Below are 27379 nucleotides of genomic sequence, written 5' to 3' on the forward strand. Positions count from 1 at the left end.
CCTCTCTTGGGAAAACTTTTCCTCGAGAAGGGACACATAGCTCAATCTTCTGTGTTTTCAGGAAGCCATTACCTGACCCACCTTAAAGTAGATTATCTTCCTGTTCCTGTCCATTACTATCTTTTGCTTTCTTTACCTTTGTACACATTATTATTTAAAATCACCTTGTTAATTTGATTACTTCTTTATAATTTCTATCTCAACCTCATAGACTTTATCTGCCTCATGCATATTTCTATCACAAGCATCCAGAACAGTGTTAATGGAATATAATCTAACTAGAGATTTATATGTTAAACCTCTTCCAGGTTCAAGAATTAAAGTTTACTGCCTGTCATTAAGAAAAAAGGTTGAAATTTCAATTTTGAAATCACAGGTAATTTTGTTATTAATTTTAAAACATATTTTATGGATTTAGTTATTCAATTAAATCTTATTTTTAATTTTGAGGTAATTGTAAATATACATATATGCAGAAGTAATACAGAGAAATTCCATGTACCTTCACCCAGTTTCTCTAATAATGACATTTCATAAAACTATAGTATCACAAGGATGTTAACACTGAGACCATCGAGATACAGAACAGTTTCATCATCACAGTGATCCTTTTTGCTTTTTTATAGCCATACCACTTACCTTACCTATGAATGCCAGTTCTTGATCCCTGGCAACCTCTAATCTCTTCTCCATGCCTACATTTTGGTCTTTTAAATAATGCTTTATAAATACAATAATATAGTATGTAAGCTTTTGAATTTGACCTTTTATTTTATCCAGTGTAATTCTCTGGAGACTCATCCAAATTGTTGCTTGAATCATAGCTTTTTCTTTTTATTGCTGAGAATTTGGATGTACCAGTTTGTTTAACCATTCATCTGTTGAAAGATATATGTTTTCTTACCCAGTTTTGGAGTTATTACCAATACAAATGCTATGAATATTTCTGAACAAGTTTCTATGTGAACATAAGTTTTCACTTATTTGGGATAGATGCCCAGGAATATGTAATTGTTGGTTGTACAGTAGTAGCATGTTTAGTTTCAGCAGAATTTTCAAACAGTTTCCAGAGCAGTTGTAATATTTTACCTTTCCATCAACAATGTATTTGTGACCCAGCTTCTGCACATCTTTGCCATTTTGGTTTTATATATGTCTCATATATATATATTATATATATAATATTTCAGTCATTCTGATGTATAGTGATACCTCATTATGCTTTGAATTTGCATTTCCCTGATGGATAATGATGAACATTTTGTCATGTGCTTAACTGCCATCTGTATATCTTCACAAGTGAAGTGTCTTTTTGGGTCTTTCTTCTGTGCATTTCCTAGTTTGGTTGCCTTTTTTTTTTCTTTTATTGTGGTGTTTTGAGAGCTCTTTATATACTCTTGGTACAAGTCCTTTGTGGCATATGTGGTTGGCAAATATTTTATACCAGTATATAGTTTCACCCTTATATACCAGTATATAATTTTCACCCCACTTCACTCCTTTAACAGGGTCTTTCGCAGAGGCAAAATTTTCAATATTTATGAAAGAGAACTTACCATTTTTTTTCTTTTATGGATAATAGTTTTGATGCCAATTCTCTGCGTAGCCATAGATCCAGAAGATTTCACCCCACCTTTTCCCCTATGTTTTCGTTTGTTTATCCCAGAAACTGTATTGTTTTACATGTTACACTTAACGCTGTGACCCATTGTGAGTTAATTTTTGAGTAAAGTATGGGCTTTAAGTCGACAATTTTTAATGTTTTTTTGTTGTTTGGTGGTATTGTGTGTGTGTGGTATTTGGCGTGCGCATGTGTGTGTGTGTGTGTGTGTGTGTGTATGTTAATGTTTTGACCATGGATGTTCAATTCCCTCAACACCATTTCTTGAAAAGACTACCTTTCCACCATAGAAATTAATTTTCACCTTTGTCAAAATGCAGTTGGACATATTTGTTTTTGTCTGTTTCTGAGTTGTCAGTGGTGTTGCACAGATCGATGTGTCTGTACTTCCACTAATACCACACATTATTTATTACGTAGCTGTATATTAAGTCTGGAAATCTGGTAGACTGATACCTCTGACCTTATTCTTCTTTTCAATATCATTTGTTCTGGTTTACATCTCCTGCCTTTCCATATGCAGGTCTACCTCTATAAAAATGTTCCTAAGATTTTGATAGGAATTTTGTTAAATCTGTATATCAAGTTGGAGAGAACTGCAATCTTTGGTTGAGGTTTGTTTTATGGCACACAGCATGGTAAATCTTGGTATATACTCCATAGGCACTTGAAAAGAATGTATTCGGCTTTTGTTAGGTAAAATGTCGTATAAACATTGATTAGTTCCTGTTGGTTGACGGCATGAACTATTTTATATTCTTGTAAATTTTCTGTGTACTAATTCTATCGCTTGTTAAAACAGAGGTAGTAGATGTTTCATCATATGCTCAGGTGTTCCTGATGTTCATGGTGAGGCTATGCTATTTTTTCATTCTATTTTCTTTATGTTGTTTAGATTGGATAATTTCTATCAATCTTCATGTTCACTGATTTTTTTTTTCCCTCTGTACTTTCTATTCTGCATGAGCCTATTTGTTGAGTTTTTAACTTTGTTTTTTCTGTATTTTTAGTTAAAAAAATCCAATTTTGCCTTATTTTTCACCTGATTTGTGGCTACCTCCTCTCTTTTCATTTGTTTAGAGTGTGTTCATCGTTATTCATTGAAGCATTTTAGTGATGACTTCTTTAAAATCTTTGTGAGATATTTCTAACATCTGTTATCTTCATGTTGGCATTAATTCTCTTTTTGATTCAGTTGAGATTTCAGTGATTCTTAGTACGATAGTGATTTGGTATTAAAACTTGGATAGTTGGGCCGGGGGCCGTGGCTCACGCCTGTAATCCTAGCACTTTGGGAAGCCAAGGTGGGCAGATTGCCTGAGCTCAGGAGTTTGAGACCAGCCTGGGCAACACAGTGAAACCTCATCTCTATTAAAATACAAAAAATTAGCTGGGCATAGTGGAGGGCACCTGTAGTCCCAGCTACTTGGGAGGCTGAGGCAGGGTAATCTCTTGAACCTCGGAGGTGGAGGTTGCAGTGCAGTGAGCAGAGATTGCACCACTACACTCCAGCCTAGGTGACAGAGTAAGACTCTGCCTCCAAAAATAGTAATAATAATAACAATAATAAATAAATAAATAAATTAAATAAAACACCTGGATCCTGGATATTTGGGGTATTATGTTATGAAACTCTTGTCTTATTTAAACCATCTGTTTTAACTGCCTTCCTCTGATACTACTCTGGCAGGGTAAGAGAAAATGCCTTATTACTACTGCCAGATAGTGGAAGAGGTACCAGTTTCCCAGCAGACCTCCACTGACACCCTGTGGAAAAAAGGGAACTCCTCATTATTGCTGGGCATGTGTGAGGGTTTTCACTATCAATGTGGCCTACACTGATACCACTCAGGGGATGGGGGAATGTAGCCTTTTAACCTCTGGGCAGTGATGAAAGTCCCGAATCTCCACTAGGCCACATGTGGAAGCAACACAGCCAAGAATAGGAAAAATGTTTCATTACTGCTGGATATGATGTAAGTCCAGGCTCCCCAGAAGGTCTTCACTAACACCTTGAGGAGAGGTTATCAGCTCCCATAGGGGTGAAAGTCCCAACTCCCTACTTAGCCTTCTCTTATATTACCATATTTCCAGTCTAGGGTGCCTCATGAGAGTGGAGGTCAGACTGCCTACTGGGCCTTTGTTGGCATGAGTTGGAGTGGAGCCACCATTTTTTATTTGCTGTGCTTGACTAGAGTAGAGAGGTGGTTGCCTATGTTTTTGGCATTGCTAGGCTTTCCTCTTGTTTCTAATCCTTTGATAAGAGACAACATGCTTCTGTTGGAGCTTCTACTTGTCTATATATTACAAGTTTCTAAGTTGTATCTTCTTCAATTCCAAGTCTGAGATACATGAGACAAAAAGAAAGCTTAAACAATTACGCAGCATTTACTTCCTTGAGTTCTAGATTCATCAGTCGGTCTGCTTTCCTCCCTTCACCTTTCAGAGTTTTGTGTTTGTTTTATATATAATGGCCAGGGCTTTTAGTTGTATTTACTGGGAGAAACAGGGACAAGGACCTCTATGCCAATGTTTTGGAAACGGAATACGCCTAATTTTATACCACTGATTATTGAGCATCCTTGGGTTATTTATGCAATTTTTCATTTATAAAATGAAAATTTCTCTGTGAAACTTGCCATCATGCTTCAGCTAGAAGTTTTCACTATATTACTGAAAAATTCTTATGTATTTATTTTTGTAATTCTAACCACTTAGCATTATTTATTTATTTATTTATTTATTTATTTATTTATTTATTTGAGATAGGTCTTGCTTTTTTACCCAAGTTGCAGTGCAATGGCATGATCGTAGCTCACTGTAACCTCAAACTCCTGGGCTCAGGCTATCCCCCTGCTTCAGCTTCCTGAGTAGCTGAGACTACAGATGTGCACCGCCATGCCTGGCTAATTATTTTTCTTTATTTCTTGTAGAGACAGTATCTTGCTATGTTGTCCAAGCTGGTCTCAAACTCCTGGCTTCACGCAATCCTCCTGCCTCAGCCTCCCAAAATACTGGGATTATGGGTGTATGTCACCCTGCCAGAGGCCAACTTAGCATTTTAAATCAGATTTCTTTTACATACATTTGTAGCATCTGCTGTACTAGACTCCCAAATCCTTTAGAAAGGAGACCAGAATTTTCTTATCCTTAAAATACCTATCCCAGTGCCATATACTTGAAAGACACTGGCACATTTTTTTTAAATAACTCAGTTATTTGGGCTTCCTGACATTTAATCTCATGAAAAGAATGCTAGAGCTTTTTAGACCACATTATAGGAAAAAGTAGTAGTATAAAAATTATAGTTAGTACAGTTATCCCTCAGTATTTATGTGTGATTGGTTCCAGTACCTTCCACAGAAACCAATATCAGAGGATGCTCAAATCCCTGATATAAAATCCTATAGTATTTGCATATATCTATGTATATGATCTTGTATACTTTAAATCATCCCTAGATTACATAATACCTAATACAGTGTAAATATTTGTTATACTGCATTGTTTAGGGAATAATAATAAGAAAAAAAGTCTATACGTGTTCAGTACAGATGCAATTTTTTAAAATGCATTTTTTTAATCCTCTTCTAGTTGGATCCATGGGTATAGAACCTGCAGATAAGGAAGGCCAACTGTACATTCAAAATAGGTAGTAATTCTTAAAAGTTGTTTAAGCATTTTGGATCTGTACATCATGCTAACATAAGCATTATTTCTATTTCTATTCTTCTCTATTTCTCATTTGGAAGGCTTGCCATTGTTTTCTCTAATGCCAGACGTACTTTGTGGATTCCAGTTTAAGCTTAATTAAATAGATATATTTTAGTCAGTGAGTCTAAAGCCAAAATCTAATTATCTGTAATTCCACAGAAAACAGTCAACTGAAATAAATTTTTTAAGATGAGAATTTCATTCCATTATTTGTGTACTTTCCCACTGTTAGGGAATAATATTTTACAGATTTTTGCCATAAAAATTGCAATAAGAATTTTTAACTCAACAAATGAAAGATCTTTTATTTTAAAATGTTATGTTCAAATAAACTTTTTTTTTGCAGTACAGGGGTATTGAGACTCATTTTAAGTTTTGTCAAGGTATTATATCTTTCTACTTCTGACTTTTCTAATATTTAAAGAAGAGGCAATTGTCATACCTGCTCCTTTTTGCTCAGTGGTAATATTTGCACCTGAGGAAAATAACCTGAAGATAATTAGTAAGTTATTAGCTTCCTACACTGCTTACTTTTTAATGTTGTTCTGTAGATCAAATACTGCAAAAGTGCTTGGAAAATGTCAAAATCCTAAATTCAAATCCTAAATGTCAAAGTCACTAAATTCTTGTGCATTTAATTTTGTCAGGTAACATACACTGTTTGAACATTTGACCTATCTGTGGACAGCTGCAAAGTAAGTCCTGTGAGAAACACCCATAAGTACATGCTCCAGAATGGACATATGCACACACTCTCACACACATACACTCACAGTGGGAGTGGGGATGTTGAATTGCTACAATGTAAGTCAAAGCAATTAAGTCATGACTTGATTTACCAGTCATTTCACATAAATCCAGATTTAATGTTCAGTGAGAACATATAAGATTATCATGCTTGCTCCTAAATGTTAAAAAATGTCATTACCAGTTGAAAATAGCCTTCTACATGTTGATCCTCCCTGGGCAACTTTACCCCTTCCCTGGAGCTCTTCCCCTTAAAACTCCCATGGGTTAACACATATGTCATGAGAAGCTTCCGTGAGCCTGCTCCCATGCTAAGGTAGCTACTAATCTGATACTGGTGCTTTGTTCTCCCTCTAAATTTTATCATCCTTAGAGTAGAAAATGTCTCTTGAGCTTATCACACAGTGGCACAAATGAATGCATAAGCAAAATTAGTGCATTGAAGTTTAATTTATAACAGCTTCTGTGTTTGACTCTTAACATTTTATCTTGGTTAATTCCTTGTTGTTAGAAGACAAAAGGTTTGAGATTCAGAAAAAGACACTAACCTGCTAAGGTCACATACCAATACTGCGTGTAGTTGAACTGGAGTCTGTTTGACTTTAAAGCCCTATGCTTGCAGCAATATCACATTGCATTTGTGGAGACAGGTAAATCTATTTTTTTTTATGAAGTCAGTGAATTTTAATGACTCACTGAGCAGGTCCTATTAATCTCTGACTTGGTTCTTTCCATTGAAGAGCTCATCCCATGAGAACACTAGCAACAAAGATTCTCTTATGGACCTAGCCATCAAATTCAAATGTCACTGAATTCCTAAATTCTCTCTGTCATTAATTGAAAAGCCTGAGATTCTTACTTGTGAAAGCTTTATGATTCTGTCTTCACTTTAGCTATTTTCTGTATCTATATTATATTTTTCCTTAAGGTTTTGCTATTTCAAGCATTTTATGATGCTCATTATTCTCATAGAAGAATTACAAATAGAGTGATGCGGTATCTGCTTTCTCTTCCTCTTAATAGAACATTGTCTTCAAAACTCTTGTTCTTAACTGCCTCAGTCTTGCTTAAGTCTGCAAAAAGAAAAATACATGTGAATTCATTCTGGTATGCCTTGTAGTCTCCTTTTCTTATTTTTTATAATTTCTCTTCTTTTTCTCTTTACATACAGTTTCTTGTGAACACTGCAAAACACTCCTTTCCACATACATCTTTAAAAAAAAAAATACACGGTATCACTCTGTCACCCAGAGGCACAGTCTCAGCTCACTGCAGCCTCTGCTTCCTGGGCTCAAGCTATCCTTCCACCTCAGCATCCCAAGCAGCTGGGACTACAGGCATGTGCCACCAGGCCCAGATAATTTTTGTATTTCTTTTTTTTTTAATGTTATTATTATTATACTTTAAGTTTTAGGGTACATGTGCACAATGTGCAGGTTTGTCACATATGTATACATGTGCCATGTTGGTGTGCTGCACCCATTAACTCGTCATTTACATTAGGTATATCTCCTAATGCTATCCCTCCCCTCTCCCCCCTCCCCACAACAGGCCCCAGTGTGTGATGTTCCGCTTCCTGTGTCCATGTGTTCTCATTGTTCAATTCCCACCTATGAGTGGGAACATGCGGTGTTTGTTTTTTTGTCCTTGCAATCACCATGTTTCCTAGGCTGATCTCGAATTTCAGAGCTCAAGCAGCCTGCTTGCCTTGGCCGTGGCTTCCCAAAGTGCGGGATTTAAAGGCCTGAGACACCGCACCAGGCCTCCTCACAAACTTTATTCAGGTAGATTTTTTAGGTTGGGAAACAACAGGGTCTTATCACAATGATAATCTCAGGGTTTTATCTCTAAGTTAAAAAATAACTAAACTTAGTTCTCAGTTTCAAATCTGACTAAAGTGCTTATTAACAGTTTAACTTTGGATAATTAATTTTATCCAGCTGAGCCTCCATTTACTCATCTGGTAATTAAAACTAGGAATAATAATACATCCCACTTCCTAGGATTATTTTGAAGACGGAGTTTGGAAATATAAATAGTTTACTTGACCAAGTTTTTGAGAAAATAGTTGTTATCCTCTCCACACACACCTTTCACTTTACAAAACTGCCCATCTCTGTCCTCAAATAATTTTTAGGCAAACTGTCTTTTTTACTTTCTAAATATATGTGGAACTGTTTTAAAATCAGCATTGCACTTTAGAAGAAAAGAGAAGCAAAACTGTTTTGCAAAGTTTTCTTGATGCAAATGTTACATTTCATCAATTTCCATTCCGCCCCGATGGTATGGAGGAAAGAATGTCCAGGCTTCGTACTGTAAATGTGCTTTAAAGAGAGAGAGAGAGAAAAGGACACACACACACATACACACAGAGAGATTGAGAGAGAGAAGCAGGCATTTACTGAACTCCCCCCCAAACAACATAAATCTATTCCTTTTATTAATGAAAAGTCCCACCACATTCTCAGAGTAGGCTGTACTCATAAAAACTCATGGGAAAAGGAAAAAAAAATTTACGGGACTTAAAGAGGATTGCAAAACTCTTAAGCCAGTGCTGGCTTAAAATAATAAAATCAGAATTACTTGAGGAAGAATGTCAGTATGCTTACCTACTCATAGTAAAAGTATGTTATCTCTTTTAAGTTTTCTTTTTGTCATTTTTTTGATATGACACAGATTCATATAGAAGTTGAATGGAATTTTGCAGGCTTTTGTGAAAAGAACACAAGGATCTACTTTGTGTAGATGGTCTACTCCTTGTGAGCTGGAAATGTCGTATCACAGCTATGTCCCCATCACTTAGAAAATTGCCAAACATGCCAGGCACAGTGGCTCACGTTTGTAATCCCAGCATTTTGGGAGGCCAAGGCAGGCAGATTACCTAAAGTCGGGAGTTGGAGACCAGCCTGGCCAACATGGTGAAACCCCCTCTCTACTAAAAATACAAAAAATTAGCCAGGAGTGGTGGCCGGTGCCTGTAGGCCCTGCTACTCGGGAGGCTGAGGCAGGAGAATTGCTTGAATCCGGGAGGTGGAGGTTGCAGTGAGCTGAGGTCACGCCACTGCACTCCAGCCTGGGCGACAGAGTGAGACCCCATATCAAAAATTAAAGAAAATGTCGAAACACTATTTAATGTTCAATAACTACTTGTTAAACATTTGCTGTCTTACATTCATCCATATGCTTTTGCCTCTATATGATGATAGAGACAAATTCATCTAAAATTAGCTGCTGATCATCTTAGAAATATTTATTGTTCATATAGTGTGTTCATAATCATGACTTGATTTCATCTTATGAATATCTTTTAAATATCATTAATCTTAAGAATAGCAATAGGCTGATATTATTTTTAATTTACAGAGAGGGAAACTGAGAATCAGATAAATAAGAAGAATTTTCCAGGTTCACTCAGCTAGTATAAGAAAAATACTAATCACAATGCCAGAATTTCAGACTTAATAACATGATCAGTAATCATTCATTAATATATGATATGTGTCTATTCATTAACTAATAGTGAACAATAGTCACGAGTGTCCTGTGTGTATTTGGTGCTGGTAATAAAAATAATAATGATTTTTTTTTGTCCTCAGAACTCCTGTTTTAGAGGCAGAGTGAGAAAAATAAGTCAATTATTACAATAAAATGAAATAAAACTCTTAGTCAAAAATAGCTGGTTAAACATTTGTTTATGTCTATTATTTCAAGAGCATATTAAATTGAAAGTCAAAGTATAAAACATATATAAAGTCATATATATAAGAACTGAGCTTTCCATAATTATTTCCCTGCAATCATTGTAAGGAATGAGGAAGGATAGGGAGATAAGAAAGCTCTTGGTAATGGCGAGAGGTTATTATAGGTGTGGATTATATGGTTCTAAGTTATGGAGGTGTAAATGTATAGTTAAAGAAAGATGTTTGGACTTTTGGAATAGGAAAGGCATACCTGCACTTTTATCCTATTATGTTATTAGCTGTGTAGTCATGGATGGCTAACTTCTCTCTGAGCTCCATATGTGATAATATAAAGTGCTTTATGAAGTACCTCGTACCTAGCTTTTCAAAAAGGGTAGTATTATTATAATTGTGTTTATTTTTATTATTGTTATTATTAGGCTGTATTTGAGAAGTAAAATTGATAAGATGATAGACCATAGTAAAATGAAAAGATCAAAGATAGGAGGATAGGAGAAAAAGAATAAATATGAAGAAGGAGTGAGACAGAGGGAGCAATTGGTATGCATGGTGAGCACAGAAGGAAATCCTGTCATTCCCAAATGCCATTGACATGGATGAAACTGGATGACATAATGCCGAGTGAATTAAGCCAGATGCAGAAAGACAAATACTGCATAACCTCACTTATACATGAAAATTAAAATAATTAAACTTGTGAAAATAGAGTGGAATAGTGATTTCCAGGGGTGGGTTGGGGAAGGGGAAATGAGATTATGTTGGTCAAAGGGCACAAAATGTCACATATACAAAATGAATAAATTCTGAAGAGCTAATGTACAGAATGATTACCATAGTTTCAGTATGTATTGTATACTTGAAATTTGACAAGAGGAGAGATTTTATGTGTTCTCATTTCAAAAAAAAAAGGAAGGGAAAGGAAAGGAAGGAAGGAAGGAAGGTAGGAAAAAAAAGCAGAGAAGAGAAATAAAGAAAATGCTAACTATATAAGGTGAAAAATATGTTAATTAGCTTCATTGTGGTGATTTATTACTATGTATACATATAAAAATCAATTTGTACACCTTAAATATAATTCTACTTATTTTCAATTATACCTCCAATAAAGCTGAAAAATAAATTTAGAACATATTTAATAAATGTAATGTTGTCAGGAAATTACAAAGTTCAAATGCATTCTCTGTTTGCTGAGGTGAAGAAGAAAGTCCTTGAGGAAAAGTTTAAGAAATATTCGTTTGAAAAATGACTGTATTATCTAAAAAAAAAAAAAATCAAAGTTTTCCAACTCCAGAAACCAGAATCACAGCCTTCAATTGAAGTAGGGGAATAACTAGACCCACAAAAGGCATTGATAAAGAAATAGAGTAGATTAGCTGAATGGCATGGTATTCAAAGAATATGTTTGTACAGGACAGTGGAAATGTGGTGACCAACAGGAGTACAGCATGTTTCCAGAAAACATCTTGGAAAAAATCAATGTTTCTAGTCCATTGGTCTTAGAGTGTATGGGGAGTAGGAACATAAATAGTTACCAACTAGAGATTTGTAATATAAGGGCTGCCACTTACTAACTTTTTAACCTTAAATAATTTACTTAAGGTTTTCTGAGTCTCTGTGTTTTCTAGTATAAAGTGTCAACCTCGGAGGGTTATTTTCCTGATAAATGAGTCAATTTCCATGAAGTGCCAAACAGAGAAGTGAATACTGGTGATTCATCAACAAATGGCAGCCATCTCAACTGTCTTCTTCCAGTGAGAAAAGCTGGGAATGAAAATGGTCCTGGGGGAGAATCAGGTTTCAGCCAAGGCAAGGAGTATCAGGGAAGAGCCTATATTGTCTCAATTGTGCCATCCTATCACCTGCAAAACAAAAATGCAGAAACTATCATTGCAGCATCCTTAGCAAGCAGCAGGCTTTAAAACACCTGCTTACAATCAGGAGAAAATAAATTAAACTGCTCAACTGTGAAGTCTTAAAATACACTCCCAAGTATAATTTCACAGTGAATCACAATTACATTTTCCTCCTCTAGATATTCCATCAATAGTTCCTATTTCCTTTTCTGCTGGTTGACTTTCATCAATGACAAGGTAGCCTTTCAGTCAGTTGTAAGGATGAGATGGGAGACCAGAAATCAATGAAACACACAGACTTTGTAAATGACATAGCCAATTTGATAATCTCCATCTAACTGTTACTGAACTTCAGCCAATTGTTTGTAAGGAAAATACTATTGTGAATCAACTCTGTGGGCTAACATAACAATGAAGGCTAATCAATATCAAAATGACTTAAAATCAATACTGAGAAGATAGTATTTTTTTCTGAACCTGATCAACATTAAACTAATTAATAGACATCATGAAATTGAGAATCTGCTTCACTTTATAATGGCTGAAAAAAATCAAGTCTTGCTTCATAGTCCAAAATGGTATGTCACAAAATACTACAGAAAGTACCATGCTACTCCATGTGACATTTGAAGTGACATGTTCTGCTTTTCATTATATTAGGGATCTGCCAACTCTAATCGACAGGGCAAGTCTGTATGCTTTGGGATGCTTTTGGTCCTTATGTTATTAAACTAAAACAAAGAGAAAAAGTTAATAAACACTTTTGATTGAGTAGAAAGACAATAATAAATCAGCCTGTTTAAAACTCTCCTAATACAAGATGTGAGTACACAGATAATACAGGGAGATGCTCCTATAGTACAAAAATATGTAAGATGTTTCTTTATGGGAAATACACTTTGGAATTAATATTTAATACCTCAAAGCAGACATAGGCAAAGGTTTGTTAAATATATCCTAAGTCAACAAGATTTGACCATAATCAGATAATTGAACATTGGGAAAATGTGCCCAGAAAAAAGAGAAGGTTTTTCAGCTATAAGAAGAAAGCTTATTGATGGCCAGAAATGTCAGTGCTCATTCAGGCACTGTTGTGGGGGACCAGGCTTTTTCTTTAGTACTAGCTTGTCTCCCCGGAGTGGCAAGTCTATTGGTATACCAAAAATGGAGACCCAAATTCATTTTTTAAAGAAATCAGGTATTTAACTATTATAACCGACTTTCTTTCTGTGATCCCAGGAAGGCCAAGAACATTCAGATAGCAATTTGCTTTACCGAGTAGAGGCAGAACATGAAATCCAGATATTCGCTTGCAGTATGTGAATAACCAGTGTTCTGTTTGCAAAACCCACCTCTGGAAGGATTCTCAACTTGAATTTTCCCTGCAAAATGGAACCTCTCTGAAGTACTGACAATTCCAGTGTTTGAAGCTGCAGGCCTGAGAGACAGACTTTAGAATAAGGTAGCCTTACAAGGTCATGCCACATATGACACCCATTGGATGACAGGCAGTGTCTCTTGTCACTATTCAGAGCATTCCCTCCAGCTTACTCTTCTCCAAATGTAATACAGATAATGACACCCCTCCCTTCAATGTGTGCATATATTTAACTGACATTTACTAATTATTATCACATATTTTAAATAGGCTAATCATAATCAGAGCTAGTCAAACAAATTAGACCCTGAAATATTTACTGTCTGGGGCATTTTCAGTCTTTGGCTCCATGTTGAGCTGGTGACAATTCATCCATGATGAAGCAGTTATAAAGTAAAATATTCTCTGGAAGGAGCAGGGTTGCATGGCACACTGTTTTAAGATGCGTACTTTTAAATTTTGGAACACAGATAATTCTTGTAAAATTATGACTCACACACTTGCATACACACGCACACACACACACCCATGCATACACACACACACACACACACACCTGGGATACATGTCTATCTATGCCTGTAGCTGATGTTTATCATTAAGAAACATGCTGGTCTTTGATCATTATGCTGTTTTGCTTTGTTCAAAACATTGCAAAAATGTAACAATGTACTATGGATTGCCATGGAAATGAGAATTGGTTCCTTCTCTGTTATTTATAGAGGCCCACTCACAGATCTAAGACTTCAAATGAGATCATAGCTTTAATCCTTAAGATGCTTTTTTTCTTTTCCCGAGTTATGTGCAGTTGAGTCCTGATTTATTAGTTTCAAAAGCATTTTCTAAGTAATTGCCTCATACTGCCTGGTCCTTTATTTTATTTATCTTTTTATTTTTTTTGAGATGGAGTCTCGCTCTCTCCCAGGCTGGAGTGCAGTGGTGCCATCTCGGCTCACTGCAATCTCCACCTCCCAGGTTCAGGCGATTCTCTTGCCTCAGCATCCTGAGTAGCTGGGATTAAAGCCACACAACACCATGCCTAGCTAATTATTGTATTTTTAGTAGAGTCAGGGTTTCACCGTGTTGGCCAGGCTGATCTGGAACTCCTGACCTCAAGTGATCCGCTCATTTTGCCCTCCCAAAATGCTGGGATTACAGGCATGAGGCCTCTTGCCCGGCCTGCTTGGTCCTTTATACAGGTGAATAAAGATAAGAGAATCTGTGTGTGTGAATACATACATATACACGTATAGATATGCATGTAGCAGAATTAATGTAAAAGATTAGATCTATATAATGTGCATAATATATGGTATATTATATATAAAAAAGCAATGTAATAAACAAGGTAGTTAATGCAAACTTTCTATGATAAATTTATCTTATCAGCTGATAATACAAATTAGTTATTTTTATTTCTATACATTTATGGGATACAAGTGCAATTTTGTTACATACATAGATTTATAGTGGTCAAATCAGAGCTTTAAGGGTATCCATCATCCAAATAACATACATTGTACCCATTAAATATTTGTTATTACCCACTTCACCACTCTGTTACACTTCTCAGTTTCTATTGTCTGTTATTACATACTCTACGTTCATATGTACACATTATTTAGCTCCAAATTATGAATGAGAACATGCCATATTTGTCTTTCTGTGTCTGAATTGTTTCACTTATAATTCTGGCCTCCAGCACCATTTATATTGCTGTAAAATACATTTATTCTTTTTTATGGCTGAACAGTATTCCATTGCATATATATATATGCATTATACATTATACATTATATATATATTCCATTGCATATATATATTACATATATATTATATATATTCCATTGCATATATATATATTCCATTGCATATATATATATATATATACCATATTTTCTTTATCTAACCATCCGTTGATGAACACTTAGATTGATTCCATATCTTTGCTATTGTGAAGAGTGCCACAATAAACATAAAAGTGCAAGTGTCTTTTTGATAAAATGATTTATTTTCCGCTGGATAGATACCCAGTAGTGGGATTGCTGGATTGAATGGTAGTTCTATTTTTAGTTCCTTGAGCAATCTTCATACTGTTTGTCATAGAGGTTATATTAATTTATTTTCCCAAAATAGTGTATAAGTGTTCCCTTTTCTTCACATCCTCACTAACGTCTGTTATCTTTTGTCTTTTTAATAATAACCTTTCTGAGTTGGGTATGATAAAGTACCACTGTGATTTTAATTTGCATTTCTCTGATGATTAGTGATGTTAAGTATGTTTTCATATACGTGTTGGCCATTTGTATGTCTTCTTTTGAAAAATGTCTATTTTTTTTTTGCCAACTGTTTAATGGGATTACTTTTTTTGTTTTTACTGAGTCGTTGAAGTTTCTTATATATTCCATATATTAGTTCCTTGTTGGGTATATATTGTAAATATTTTCTTGCATCCTGTAAGTTGTCTGTTCACTCTGTTAATTATTTATTTCCTGTACAGAAGCTTTTTAGTGGAATTAAGTCTCACTTATCTATTTTTGTTTTTGTTGTTTGTGCTTTTCAGGTCTTAGTCATTAATTCTTTGCCTAGGCCAAGGTCCAGAAAAGTTGTTCCTATGTTTTCTTCTTGGACTTTTATAGTTTCAGGACTTCCATTTGTCTTTAATTCATTTTAAACTGATTTTTGTTTATGGTGAGAAATAAGGGTCCGGTTTTATTCTTCTGCATAAAGCATTCTAATTTTCCTAGCACCATTTATTACAAAGGGTGTCTTTTCTACAATGTATGTTCTTGTGGACCTTGTCAAAGATTAGTTGGCTTTAAATATGTTGCTTTATTTCTGGGTGCTATATTCTGTTTTATTAATCTATGTGTCTACATTAATGCCAGTATCATACTGTTTAGGTTACTATAGCCTTGTAACATAATTTGAAGTCAGGTAATATGGTGCCTCCAGCTTTGTTCTCTTTCCTTGTAATGGCTTTGGCTATTCCGACTTTTTTTTTTTTTTTTTTTGCTGTTCCATACTAAGTTTAAGATTTCTAAAAATTCCATGAAAATGATGTTGTTATATTGATAGAGTTTGCACCGAATCTGTAGATTGCTTTGAGTAGAGCGGTTATTTTAATAAGATTGTTTCTTCTGATCTATGAGCATGGGGTGTTTTTCATTTGTTTGTGTCACCTACACTTTTTTTCATTAGTGCTTTATAAGTTTCTTTTTGTAGAGATCTTTCCTCTACTTGGTTAAATATATGTCTAGGTATCTTTTTGTAGCTATCGTAAATGGAATTGCCTTCTTGATTTCATTCTCAGCTAGATCATTATTGGTGTATAGAAGTACTACTGATTTTTGTACATCGATTTTATGTCCTACAATTTTATCAAATTCATTTATTAAATCTAAAAAGTTTTCTGGTGCCATCTTTAGGTTTTTCTAAATATGAGGTCACGTCATCAGGAAATATTGATAATTTGACTTTCTCTTCTGATTTGGAAGCTTTTTTTTTCTCTTTCCTGATTGTTGTGGCTAGGATTTCCAGTACTATGTTGAAAATGAGTGGTGAAAGTGGGCATTGTTGTCTTGTTCTAGATCTTAGAAGTGTTTTCAGCTTTTCTCCACTTACTATGATGTTGGCTATAGGTTTGTTGTATATGGCCATTATCATTTTGAGGTACTTTCCTTCAATGCCTAGTAGGTTCAGGTGTTTTTCTTTATTGTTTTTTTTTTTCTTTTCTTTTCATATCATGAGGTGGTGCTGAATTTTATCAAATGCTTTTTCTGTGCCTATAGAGAGATCAGATAGTTTTTATCCTTAGTCCTGTTTATGTGATACATAACATTTATTGATTTACGTATGTTGAAATATCCTTGTATCCCTTCGTTGTAGTGTTACATTTTTGATGTGCTATTAGTTCAGTTTGCTGGTATTTTATGGAGGATTTTCACACCTGTGTTTATCAGGGATATCGGTCTGTAGTTGTGTGTGTGTGTCCTTGTCTGGTTGGGTCTCAGGGTGATACTAGCCTCGTGGAATAAGCTAGAGATAATTTTCTTGATTTTTGGGAGCTTTAGGATGCTTGGAATTAGTTCTTCTTTGTATGTTTTGTAGAATGCAGCTGTGAATCTATCTAGTCCTGGCTTTTCTTTTTTGAGAGATATTTTATTACTGATTCAATCCTTCTAGTCATTAGTGGTCTGTTCAGGTTTTGGAGAATGCAAATTAATACAGGAAAGAGGGCATATGAATATAATGTACCAATTACCAAACCTGATCAAACAGCCTGCTGCTGCTGCCTATTTCTGGCATTGGAAGTGACCCACAATCAAAATGTAATATGGATAGGCTTTTGCTTTTTACTATGGAAGTGGGGCATTTATAGGTATTTAGGATTTTATATTAGTTTTCAGAATAACTGTGTAATGTCATTTCACATTTGAGAATATGTTAATACTTACCAACTCACTAAACACCTGAAAGATAGGCATTTCACTACTGAATTTTTACACAAAACTGAAGGAACTTGTGTGGGTATCAGGATGCCATTGTATAACTCAAAATAGAATATTTATTCATATATTTGGGTATAATGAGGGACATAAAACCTCGGCATTTGATAGCATTGTGAAAGAGCTTGCTGTTTTCTGATCCAATATGTATTTTTTACACAAATAATTTGAAATAATCTAGAGCAAATGTCACCTAGAAAATTGAACAGAAGTCTAATAAAGTTTGCATATAGATGAAAAGCTTATTAATTTTTAACTAGCTTCCCCCATATCATTACAATCAGTGCACTGCAAGAAGTGAGTTCTATTATCAGCACAGGTATTACAAGTATGATTTTTAATGTATGGCCTTAGGAATCCCACGTGGCAACCACAGAATTTTTCTTATGTAAATGTCCATTAATCAGCACATGAAAATTCCTGTCTGCTCATCAGGGCAATCCTAACAGCATCCCCAACAAACATTTAAAATAGACGTGCTCCAAAATCTCAAGTCCTCCCTAGCCTATGTGAAAAACATAAACAATTACAGTGGACTGAACTTAATCTCAAGAGGAGACTGGATTGTTCCAACATATAAGGAAATGCAAAATATCACACAGAATATAAACCAAGCTGATGAGATAGCCTGAAGTTGTCAGATATATGCATCTTGCAGGCATTATGGGGATATTAGTACTCACCCAATCTTGTTTGAGAGAACACCATTTCAAACTCCTTTAACCAAGTAATGTATTAAGAAATGATATGTACTGCAACCAATGGATCTCAAAGGAGTAAAACATGTTGAGTTCCTGTTTGTTAAGGAAAGATGGGGTCTTGAAGAATGATAGGATATAGAAAGGAAATCTGAGCAACAGGAGTAAAAGATTATCTTGTTTTGATGTGAATTGCCTTTTCTAGTCTGGGAGATTTTCTTGTTGCCTTCATGATGACCATATGTAAAATTACCTTCATATGTATGTGGCATTTTTCCACATTTATTTACACTTATCTTGCACTCACATTCAAAGGCACTCAGGAGTAGAGGACACATAAAAATATTCCATCCAAAAACAATGAAACAAACAGATCTGCCACAATGCTTTCAAGTATTTAAAAATAAAATGAGGATATATAGGTTATTTTGAACCAAATCCAAATATATAAAGTTGACTTTAGCTGCCACTATGTTCTTAGCAAAAGATACACACAAGTTAGGCCATTGAAACATTTTAAAATAATTTTCTAAAAGGTCACCTTCTCATGTGAGTTACCTAGCCACTCCATGAAAATCAATCAGAATCTTTAAAAGTTTACAATAATTGAGAAGAAAAAGCAGTGGAAAAAAATGATGTGTTCTTCTCAGTTGTATTTTAGTATATTTTATCATTGCAAAGAAATTCTTGAAGGTATAAGCTCAAAATTTTAGGCAAGTAATATAATTCAGAATAAAATATGTTTAAAATAATCACAATTTACTTTTATAAAAAGTTTTATAGAGAAAATATACATTGTTAATGTTGACCTTTTATATATTTAAGTATGATGTTTTCTATCTCATAATGAATGAATTAATATCTCAAGAGGTGGCTGCTTATATTTATAGGATTATATAGCAACTGCATGAATTTATTTTCTGCTCACAAAATGAACCATTAACTTTCTATAAAAGATATACATTAATTACATTCTTATGCTTTGTAATCATCACTCTTGACATCCTTCAAATTTGAAAAAAATTATTAAAATGTATTTTTTTAGTCTAACACACGTGTGTGTGTGTGTGTGTGTGTGTGTATATATAGTCTGTCTATTAAAGGACAATAAAGTCTAAACCTGTTTAACTATTAAAGCAAATAAATGAAGAGCTGAGACTCTGAAGACAGAATTATTGGGTTTTCTATAGCAATCAAACTTACTAGAAGTATGATCTTGAGCAAATTACTTAACCCTCTACTTCAGTCATCTTATATGTAAATGAATTTTTGTGAGAATTATATGAGTTCATGTATGACTTAGAAAAAATAAATCTAAGAACTTAAAGGCAAAATATTGGTGAAACATGGCAATAAAAACAGCATAATTTTCAAAATGTGGCACAGATACCCTGGAAGTACTATTCCATATTACAAGGGTGGTAATGTATACCATAATCAGATACAAACATTATGGTAGAGGTCCTAAACTGGTAGCTCCCATCTAGATTGTCTTTGTATGGCTATCACAGAATTGGTCCACATAGTTTATTTTCATTGAGGTAGTGGCTAAAAATTACATATCAGAAGATAAGCCAAGATATGCCAGCTATCGATAACACAGAGAGATCAAGCATTTTCTTTCTGGTTTTTCAAGATCTCATTCCCTATTTTTTCCCCCATACTGTAACTAAGTATCATCTTCAAGTTCTCCTAGTGTTTTGCATTACTGCTTTTTTAAAGTTAATTTTTTCTGGATTTATAACTTCAAAAAAAAAAAAAAGTAAATGAGCAATAAACTGACCATAGAGCTGTTTGTTTTGCAGCTGATTCTGTTTACTCGTTTGCATTATGAGCCTGGTCAAGGCATTTGAGTTTGCAGGTGCAAGGTGAAAGGGCTTGAGTTCACAAAATTAAAGGCGGTACTGGATTTTGTTATCATTTTTTAAAAACACAACATCAAATAGAATAATTGCTTTATTTATTTTCTGTGACTTGGAACAGATACAGGCTTCTCAGTATGAACCTAGTAAGCATGGATGATCTGTACTGGAGATGAGATGAACACACTTGTTACTCAGCTCAAAATAAATCAGTCTCTCATTTGATCTCTGTTAGTCATAATAATAACGTTAAACATAACCTAAAGATATCCTTGTTACCTTTTACCAGGAAGCGTGGGATGGGGGTGAGGGATGAGACATTATTTAATGGGTAAAATGTACAATGTTAATGAGATGGTTACACTAAAAGTCCAGATTTCACCACTGGTCAACATACCCATGTAACAAAACTGCACTTGTACCCTTTAAATAAATACAAATAAAAAAAAATTATAAAAGATAATGAAATAAATCTACCAATTTCACTTTTTATTTTTGTAAATAAAAAGAAATATGACACTATTTATAATTTGTATAGGAGCATTACCAAAAAAATGCAAACACTTGATCTTATCTTGACATTAAAATGATAAAAATAATTGGCATTAAAAAATTGATTTTTGAACAACATGTTATAAGCAACATGTAAGATTTTAAACCTCAAATCAGAAAAGAGTGTGTGTGTGTGTGTGTGTATTCACAAGTCATAAGAAATAAACACATTTCAATCTACATTAAAATATATTTTGTCACCAAACTAAAGACAGTCAAATGTCATTTTCAGTACATTTCTATGCAAAGTATGCTGTTTATCCTTAAGTAATCAATTTAAATTAAATTAAACTAATGATAACTTGGTTAAAGATGTCAGAATACAGGCATTTCTATCTCACTGTCTTCTATAAAACAACTGAAAACAAAGTTATACATTTTAAAACCTCATCTGTAATGAAATTTGGAGAGAAAAGAAGCTGTCAGACCCTGTGAAACTTGAAACAAATCAACGCAGAGTGCTGGGGAGAACATTTGAGGCCCACAGACAGCGTTGACTAAAAGTGGATCTCAATGCCTTAAGAGGCCCCACAGCAATACTTTACTTGAAATACAAGGCCTGCGGTGCAGGTAGACTTTGCAAGCTGGTCTAAGCACAAGGTGACTCTGCGGAATAACAGCAAAAGTGGAACTGGGGAAAAGTACTGCAGAGACATGCTATCCTTACATATTGTCAGTGTGGTGGCTTGAAGAAATCACACTGGGTGGCAATCTACTCTGGAACTTCTGATTATTGTCAGTCGAGAAAAAATAAATTGACTCAGTTACCTGTAAAAAATAAATAACCTAAAATAAGTGGGGTTTGTCTGGGAACCAGGAAGATTTTTTTATTTGTCCAATGGAACTACACACTGTAAGAGAACACTGATCATTATCTGCCTCATTTATGGTATGATGGCATTCTGAGTCATATCATCATCCCCAATTGGAGACAGTTTCAGCCACAGCATATTTATCAGTTCTCTATCAATACTACTTTTCAACAAATACCTACACTGGTAAAAACATTCCCTATTCAAAACAATAAGTAATTAAATATAATCAACCTGGAGCTAAGGCATAGATAGCATGCTTACTTATAATACAGGGGTTAAGAGGGTGGATTCTGAACCTAGACTGCTTGGGCTCAAATCCAGAGCACTCTGTTATAAAATGAGTGATTTCTCTGCACATCAGATTTTCCCCATTGATAAAGTGGGGGCAAATATTAGCTCATATCATTGTGGGAGTATAAAATGTGATAATATATGTTAAGTACTTCAAACAATGACCACCACAGGGTGTTATTCATCCTTAGTTGATTTACACACGTAAATGCATATCATATTTTCTACATTGGCACAACTAACGTTGTCCACAAGTAACATGAATCCAGCCCACAATCTTCACTTGCCTGGCATACTTTGAAAACTATTAAAATGGTGTCTACACTTCTTTCCTATCACCCTTCAAATAATTCGTCAGAGCTCAGCTCACACACACTTAACCAGAGACATAAGAAAATATAGAAAATAAAGCAAGATTAAAAATAAAATTTTTTACATGAGGTAATATGAAAGAACAGAGGGCAAACAGACATGAAATTCCAACAAATAAAAATGATATAAGCCAATTTTTGCTTATAAAAAAAGATGCTTCAATTGAATTTTAAATATAAAAATTATAGAATATATATTAAAAACTATCAGTGTTAAGGTGATAAAATAGAAAGCTAAAAATGTTGATTAACAGTTTAAAAAGGGAAAATCTTGATGTTACATTAATATATAATCTTTTGGTATAAAATTCAAAATCTTAAAAATCTATAAAACAAAAATTGTAGAGGATGAGCAGAGTGTTAGAAATATAAAAGCATTATAAAATTGTTGTGGGAAGTCAGGGACCCCGAACAGAGAGATCGGCTGGAGCCTAGGAAGAAGAACATAAATTGTGAAGATTTCATGGACATTTATCAGTTCCCCAAATTAATACTTTTATAATTTCTTATGTCTGTCTTTAATCTCTTAATCCCATCATCTTTGTAAGCTGAGGATGTATGTCACCTCAGGACCCTGTGATGATTGAGTTAACTGTACAAATTGTTGGTAAAACGTGTATTTGAACAATATGAAATCAGTGCACCCTGAAAAAGAACAGAATAACAGCTATTTTCAGAGAACAAGGAAAGATAACCATAAGATCTGACTGCCTGTGGGGTCGGGCAGAATAGAGCCATATTTTTCTCCTTGCAGAAAGCGAGTAGGAGAGATATTGCTGAATTCTTTTCCCTTCAAGGAATAACCCTGGGGAAGGAATGCATTCCTGGGGGGCGGTCTATGAACGGCCGCTCTAGGGGTGTCTGTCTTATGTGATTGATAATAAGGACTGAAATATGCCCTGGTCTCCTGCAGTGCCCTCAGGCTTACTAGGATTGGGAAATTCCAGCCTGGTGAATTCTAGTCAGACCGGTTCTGTGCTCTTGCACCCTGTTTCCTGAAGATGTTTATCAAGACAATGAGTGCACAGAGGGACACAGACCCTCATCAATAATTCTAATTTTACCTTTTGCCTTGTGATCTTTTATTGCCCTTTGAAGCATGTGATCCCTGTGACCTACTTCCTGTTCGTACATCCCCTCCCCTTCTAAAATCCCTAATAAAAACTTACTGGTTTTGCAGCTCAGGGTCACCATCATGGTCCTACCAATATGTGATGACACCTCCGAAGTCCCAGCTATAAAATTTCTCTCTTTGTACTCTTTCTCTGTATTTTTCAGACTGGCCAACACTTAGGGAAAATAGAAAAGAACCTACGTTGAAATGTTGGGGGCTGGTTCCCTGATATAAAATCATTTTATTTAACTTAGCCCATGACAAAACAAAACTATATGAAAGTAACATTTTAAAAGATAGATGTCTAATATGTAATGTATTAACTTCTGGAACCTACAATCAAATATAGACTTTCTTTAAAATTGTCAATAAAATAGTTATAAAATCGATTATACATTTAGCTACAAAAAATTAATTTCCCCAAATAGAAATTATACTAGAAATTTAATAAAAATTAAATTTCTAGCTACAGAAGAATAACATTATATATTGACTAAAAATATAGTTTTTTAAAAAATCAAAATACAAAAATCCAAATTCTAGGACACTTTAATTAAGAAAGTATTCTAAAAACTATATAGGGAAAAAATTGTTTGACAAAATCATTCAAGCTGTAATTGCAAGCTAGAAAAAAATAAAAATTCAAAGTATACAGTATTTACTACATGGCTAAAGCAGGGCTTAGTTGATAATTTATGGCCTTAAAAGAAGGATTAACTTGGAATTTTTTCTAAATTATGCATTTTGTTAAGAAATTAGGGCATATTGTGAAAAGAAACAAATAATTTATGATAATGAAAGTGGAAATTAGTGAGATATAAAGTAGAAATAATTAAAAATAATTTAAAAATAGGAACTGATTGTTTAAAAAATAAAATTGATACATTAACTAACCTAATCAACAAAACAAATCTCAATATAGTATTAGGGATGAGAATGGAAAATGAATCACAGATACTGAATCAAATAAATATTAACAAAGAAAAGACAATTAATTCTAATACATTTATGAAAGATAATTTTCCCAGAAAAAAATATTTTTAACAGTTAAAAAAAGATTTTAAAAATCTAAACACACCAAATGCCACAAGGAAAAAGAGAGAAAATGTTCAAAAACTTGTCAAAGACCTGTTATACTAAAAGCTCTAGACTCTTACCTTCTCTACAAATCTTCAGTCTTTTTGGACATTTCTTCATTTATTGAAATATGAAACTTTTTCTCTATAGCAATAAATTAATTTTCAATCATGTCACTAGTTGCTTATTTTAGTTAATATATATTTTTCACTAAAGTAGAATCATTTTGTTTCTCTATTTGTTTTCTTAATTTTGCATTTTACATTTTCACATTTCTTTCCTGTTTTTACCTCTGCATTTCTATGATGGGTCATAGTGATTTTCTCATTAAATTTTTATAGCAACATTTGGTAATACATTATATTCTTCCATTGTGTTGTATATTTTCCAGCTTCAATTTTTTTCAGCTCATAGATATGTAATTCTCTCTATTTTATGTTTCCCCTTATATTTTATTTACCCTTTACTTGTCTGTTCATATTTTGTTTTGTTTGTTTGTTTTGAGACGGAGTTTCACTCTTGTTGCCCAGGCTGGAGTGCAGTGGTGAGATCTCAGCTCACCGCAACCTCCGCCTCCTGGGTTCAAGCAATTCTCCTGCCGCAGCCTCCTGAGTAGATGGAATTACAGGTGCCCGCCACCACACCTGGCTAATTTTGTATTTTTAGTAGAGACAGGGTTTCACCACGTTGGTCAGGCTGGTCTCTAACTCACAACCTCATCTGACCCACCCACCTCAGCCTCCCAAAGTGCTGGGATTACAGGCGTGAGCCACTGTGCCCGGCCTTAATGTTTTGTTTTATATGAGTAGTTCTGCACAAACCATCTCTTTCCTCTACTGTAATATGTGGACATTCTCTCTCACTGCAGTTCCACTTTCTTGAATCCTCTCTACCTTCCTCTCCTCACTACCCTGTGTGTCCTTTCTTTTACACCTCAATGCAATCAGGGAGCACAAGAGTTCAATTCCAGCTCTGTGAAGACTTTATTTAAAGCAATAGGTCTGCTTTTTGTTCTGACATTAGGTTAAATGTCTTATTAAAAAGTTATCCATTGTTTTTGCTAATGTTGCTTATTGAAGACAGGCTCCTACCCTCCCATAGAGAAGAGGCATAAGAAAGTTATCTTTTTGACATCTGTATTTCAAAGAGATGATTCCCAAGTCCTTGAGAAAAACAACTCTGGGTTGTAAGTGTAAACCTCAAAGAGCTAAAGAAAGAATTTACAACTGGTGTTTTTCGAAAGTAAATGTTCTAAAAGGAGTCAAAAAGACTCCTGTGTATGTTTAGTCAAGCTGGGCGGAAAGTTAAGGGCATCTTGGTCGTTACTAACTATGTAAACAAATAAATATGCAATATTATACAGTACAAGAGATGACTGGTACCAATCAGATGGCTAATTGTGGGAAGCTGTGAATTTATATAAGGACCTCTGTCCCAAGAGAAAGACAATGAGCAAACATTAAATAGATGCGGTTGTGCATCTGACAAATCTGATGGTTTGGTTTGAGCACTTGTATTTTTGTGAGATTTATCTGGTTAAAACAGGATTTACATGACTTTTTTCTGTCTATAAAAACATGGCATGTATACAAAAGATAAAATACTTTATTTATTTAGATAAATGTTTGGCACATAAACTAAACTGTGAAAAATATCGTGTTATTTGTATCAATGGTGTAAAAGCATGTTAGAAAATGGTAGGATTGCCAGCTCATATTAAAATTCTTATTGGAATTTGCTTGAGGATTCATAGGATGTTATGTAGATAAGCATTAGGAGTTATGAAGATGACAGTAATAAACTATTAAATAATAGCACATTGTGAATTTTACTGTTTTTAAATTGCTGACTTTCCTAAATTTATTTCTAGCAAAATGAAACATAGTTTACAGAATTTCCTTTTTTATATGAAAGTGTACTGCTTGTCCTAAGGAAAGGTGGTACTACAAAGTTTTAATATATATATGTATGTATGTGTATATCTATATCTGTATAGATATAGATATAGATATAGATATAGATATAGATATAGATATAGATATAGATATATATTTCACTTGCCTCAGCCTCCCAAGTAGCTAGGAGTACAGGTATGTGCCACCATGGCCAGCCAATTTTTTTATTTTTTGTGGAGATGAGGATCTTATTGTTTTGCCCAGGTTAGTCTCAAACTTCTGGCCTCAAGAGATCCTCCCACCTCAGCCTCCCACAGTGCTAAGATTACAGACATGAGCCATCTTACCCTGCCAACGTTTTCTAATTAGATTTTTTTCTAATATCACCATGTTTTTCTTAGTGAAAAAATCCCTACTTAAATAATTCTAAAATATAATATGATATCAACAACTTGCAGTTGATATTTTTAACAATCTGAATGACCTTAATTTGCAACTTTACCATCTTTGCATAGAGACACACAATCCCTTAAGGGCATTAAAATAATGTGTAGTCTCAACGAACAATTTGACTTTTAAAATTGTGTGTTAATTTATGAAAAAGACAAGAAATGTAGTATCTGAGATTTTTAAAATATTACTGTTGAACATCAAAAGGTGATAAGATACATTTAGAAAGGTACCTCATCTAAATTGATTGAAGAATTCATTCTTCAACTCCCTTCAAATTGAATATTTACTAATTAGAGAAAACTAGTAAAGCAACATTGACATATAAAAAGACATATTTTTCAAACTTCCGGATTAGTCTAATTAAAGGCCACCTTGCTACTTCTAGCTTACAAATGCCATAAGTAGTATCATTCACAATGATTTATCTTTGAAAACCTGGGTTTTCTTGAAGATACATACAAATTGCAGTGAATAAATAAATTGGCAAAAAATTGCAATTGTTATCTGGGATAACACATTTCAAAATGTCAAAATCAAATAGTTCTCGAATTATTCAGTAGTTTTATAATCAAATAGAAGTTTATTATTATTGTTTTTTGAGATTGAGTCTCAATCGGTCACCAGGCTGGAGTGCAGTGGCACGATTTTGGCTCACTGTAACCTCCGCCTCCCTCAAGCGATTCTCCTGCCTCAGCTTCCTGAGTAGCTGGGACTACAGGTGCATGCCTT

At 34.3% G+C, this 27379-nt stretch overlaps 1 protein-coding gene across 9 annotated transcripts in view, besides 1 other annotated feature; it reads left to right on the forward strand.

The window, feature by feature from the left end:
* The window catches only part of LUZP2 (leucine zipper protein 2), a 585586-nt gene that overhangs the window by 117612 nt on the left and 440595 nt on the right, over nucleotides 1-27379 (forward strand). The window lies entirely within an intron of this gene.
* Nucleotides 22865-23366: an enhancer, noted in NCBI's record as "NANOG hESC enhancer chr11:24659075-24659576 (GRCh37/hg19 assembly coordinates)". NCBI's record gives its function as "activates a minimal SCP1, AML or CMV promoter by ChIP-STARR-seq in primed H9 embryonic stem cells {active_cell/tissue: H9 hESC(primed)}" and the evidence as "EXISTENCE:reporter gene assay evidence [ECO:0000049][PMID:30033119]".

This window comes from Homo sapiens, chromosome 11, assembly GCF_000001405.40.
Source record: "Homo sapiens chromosome 11, GRCh38.p14 Primary Assembly".
Classification (NCBI taxonomy): Eukaryota; Metazoa; Chordata; class Mammalia; order Primates; family Hominidae; genus Homo; species Homo sapiens.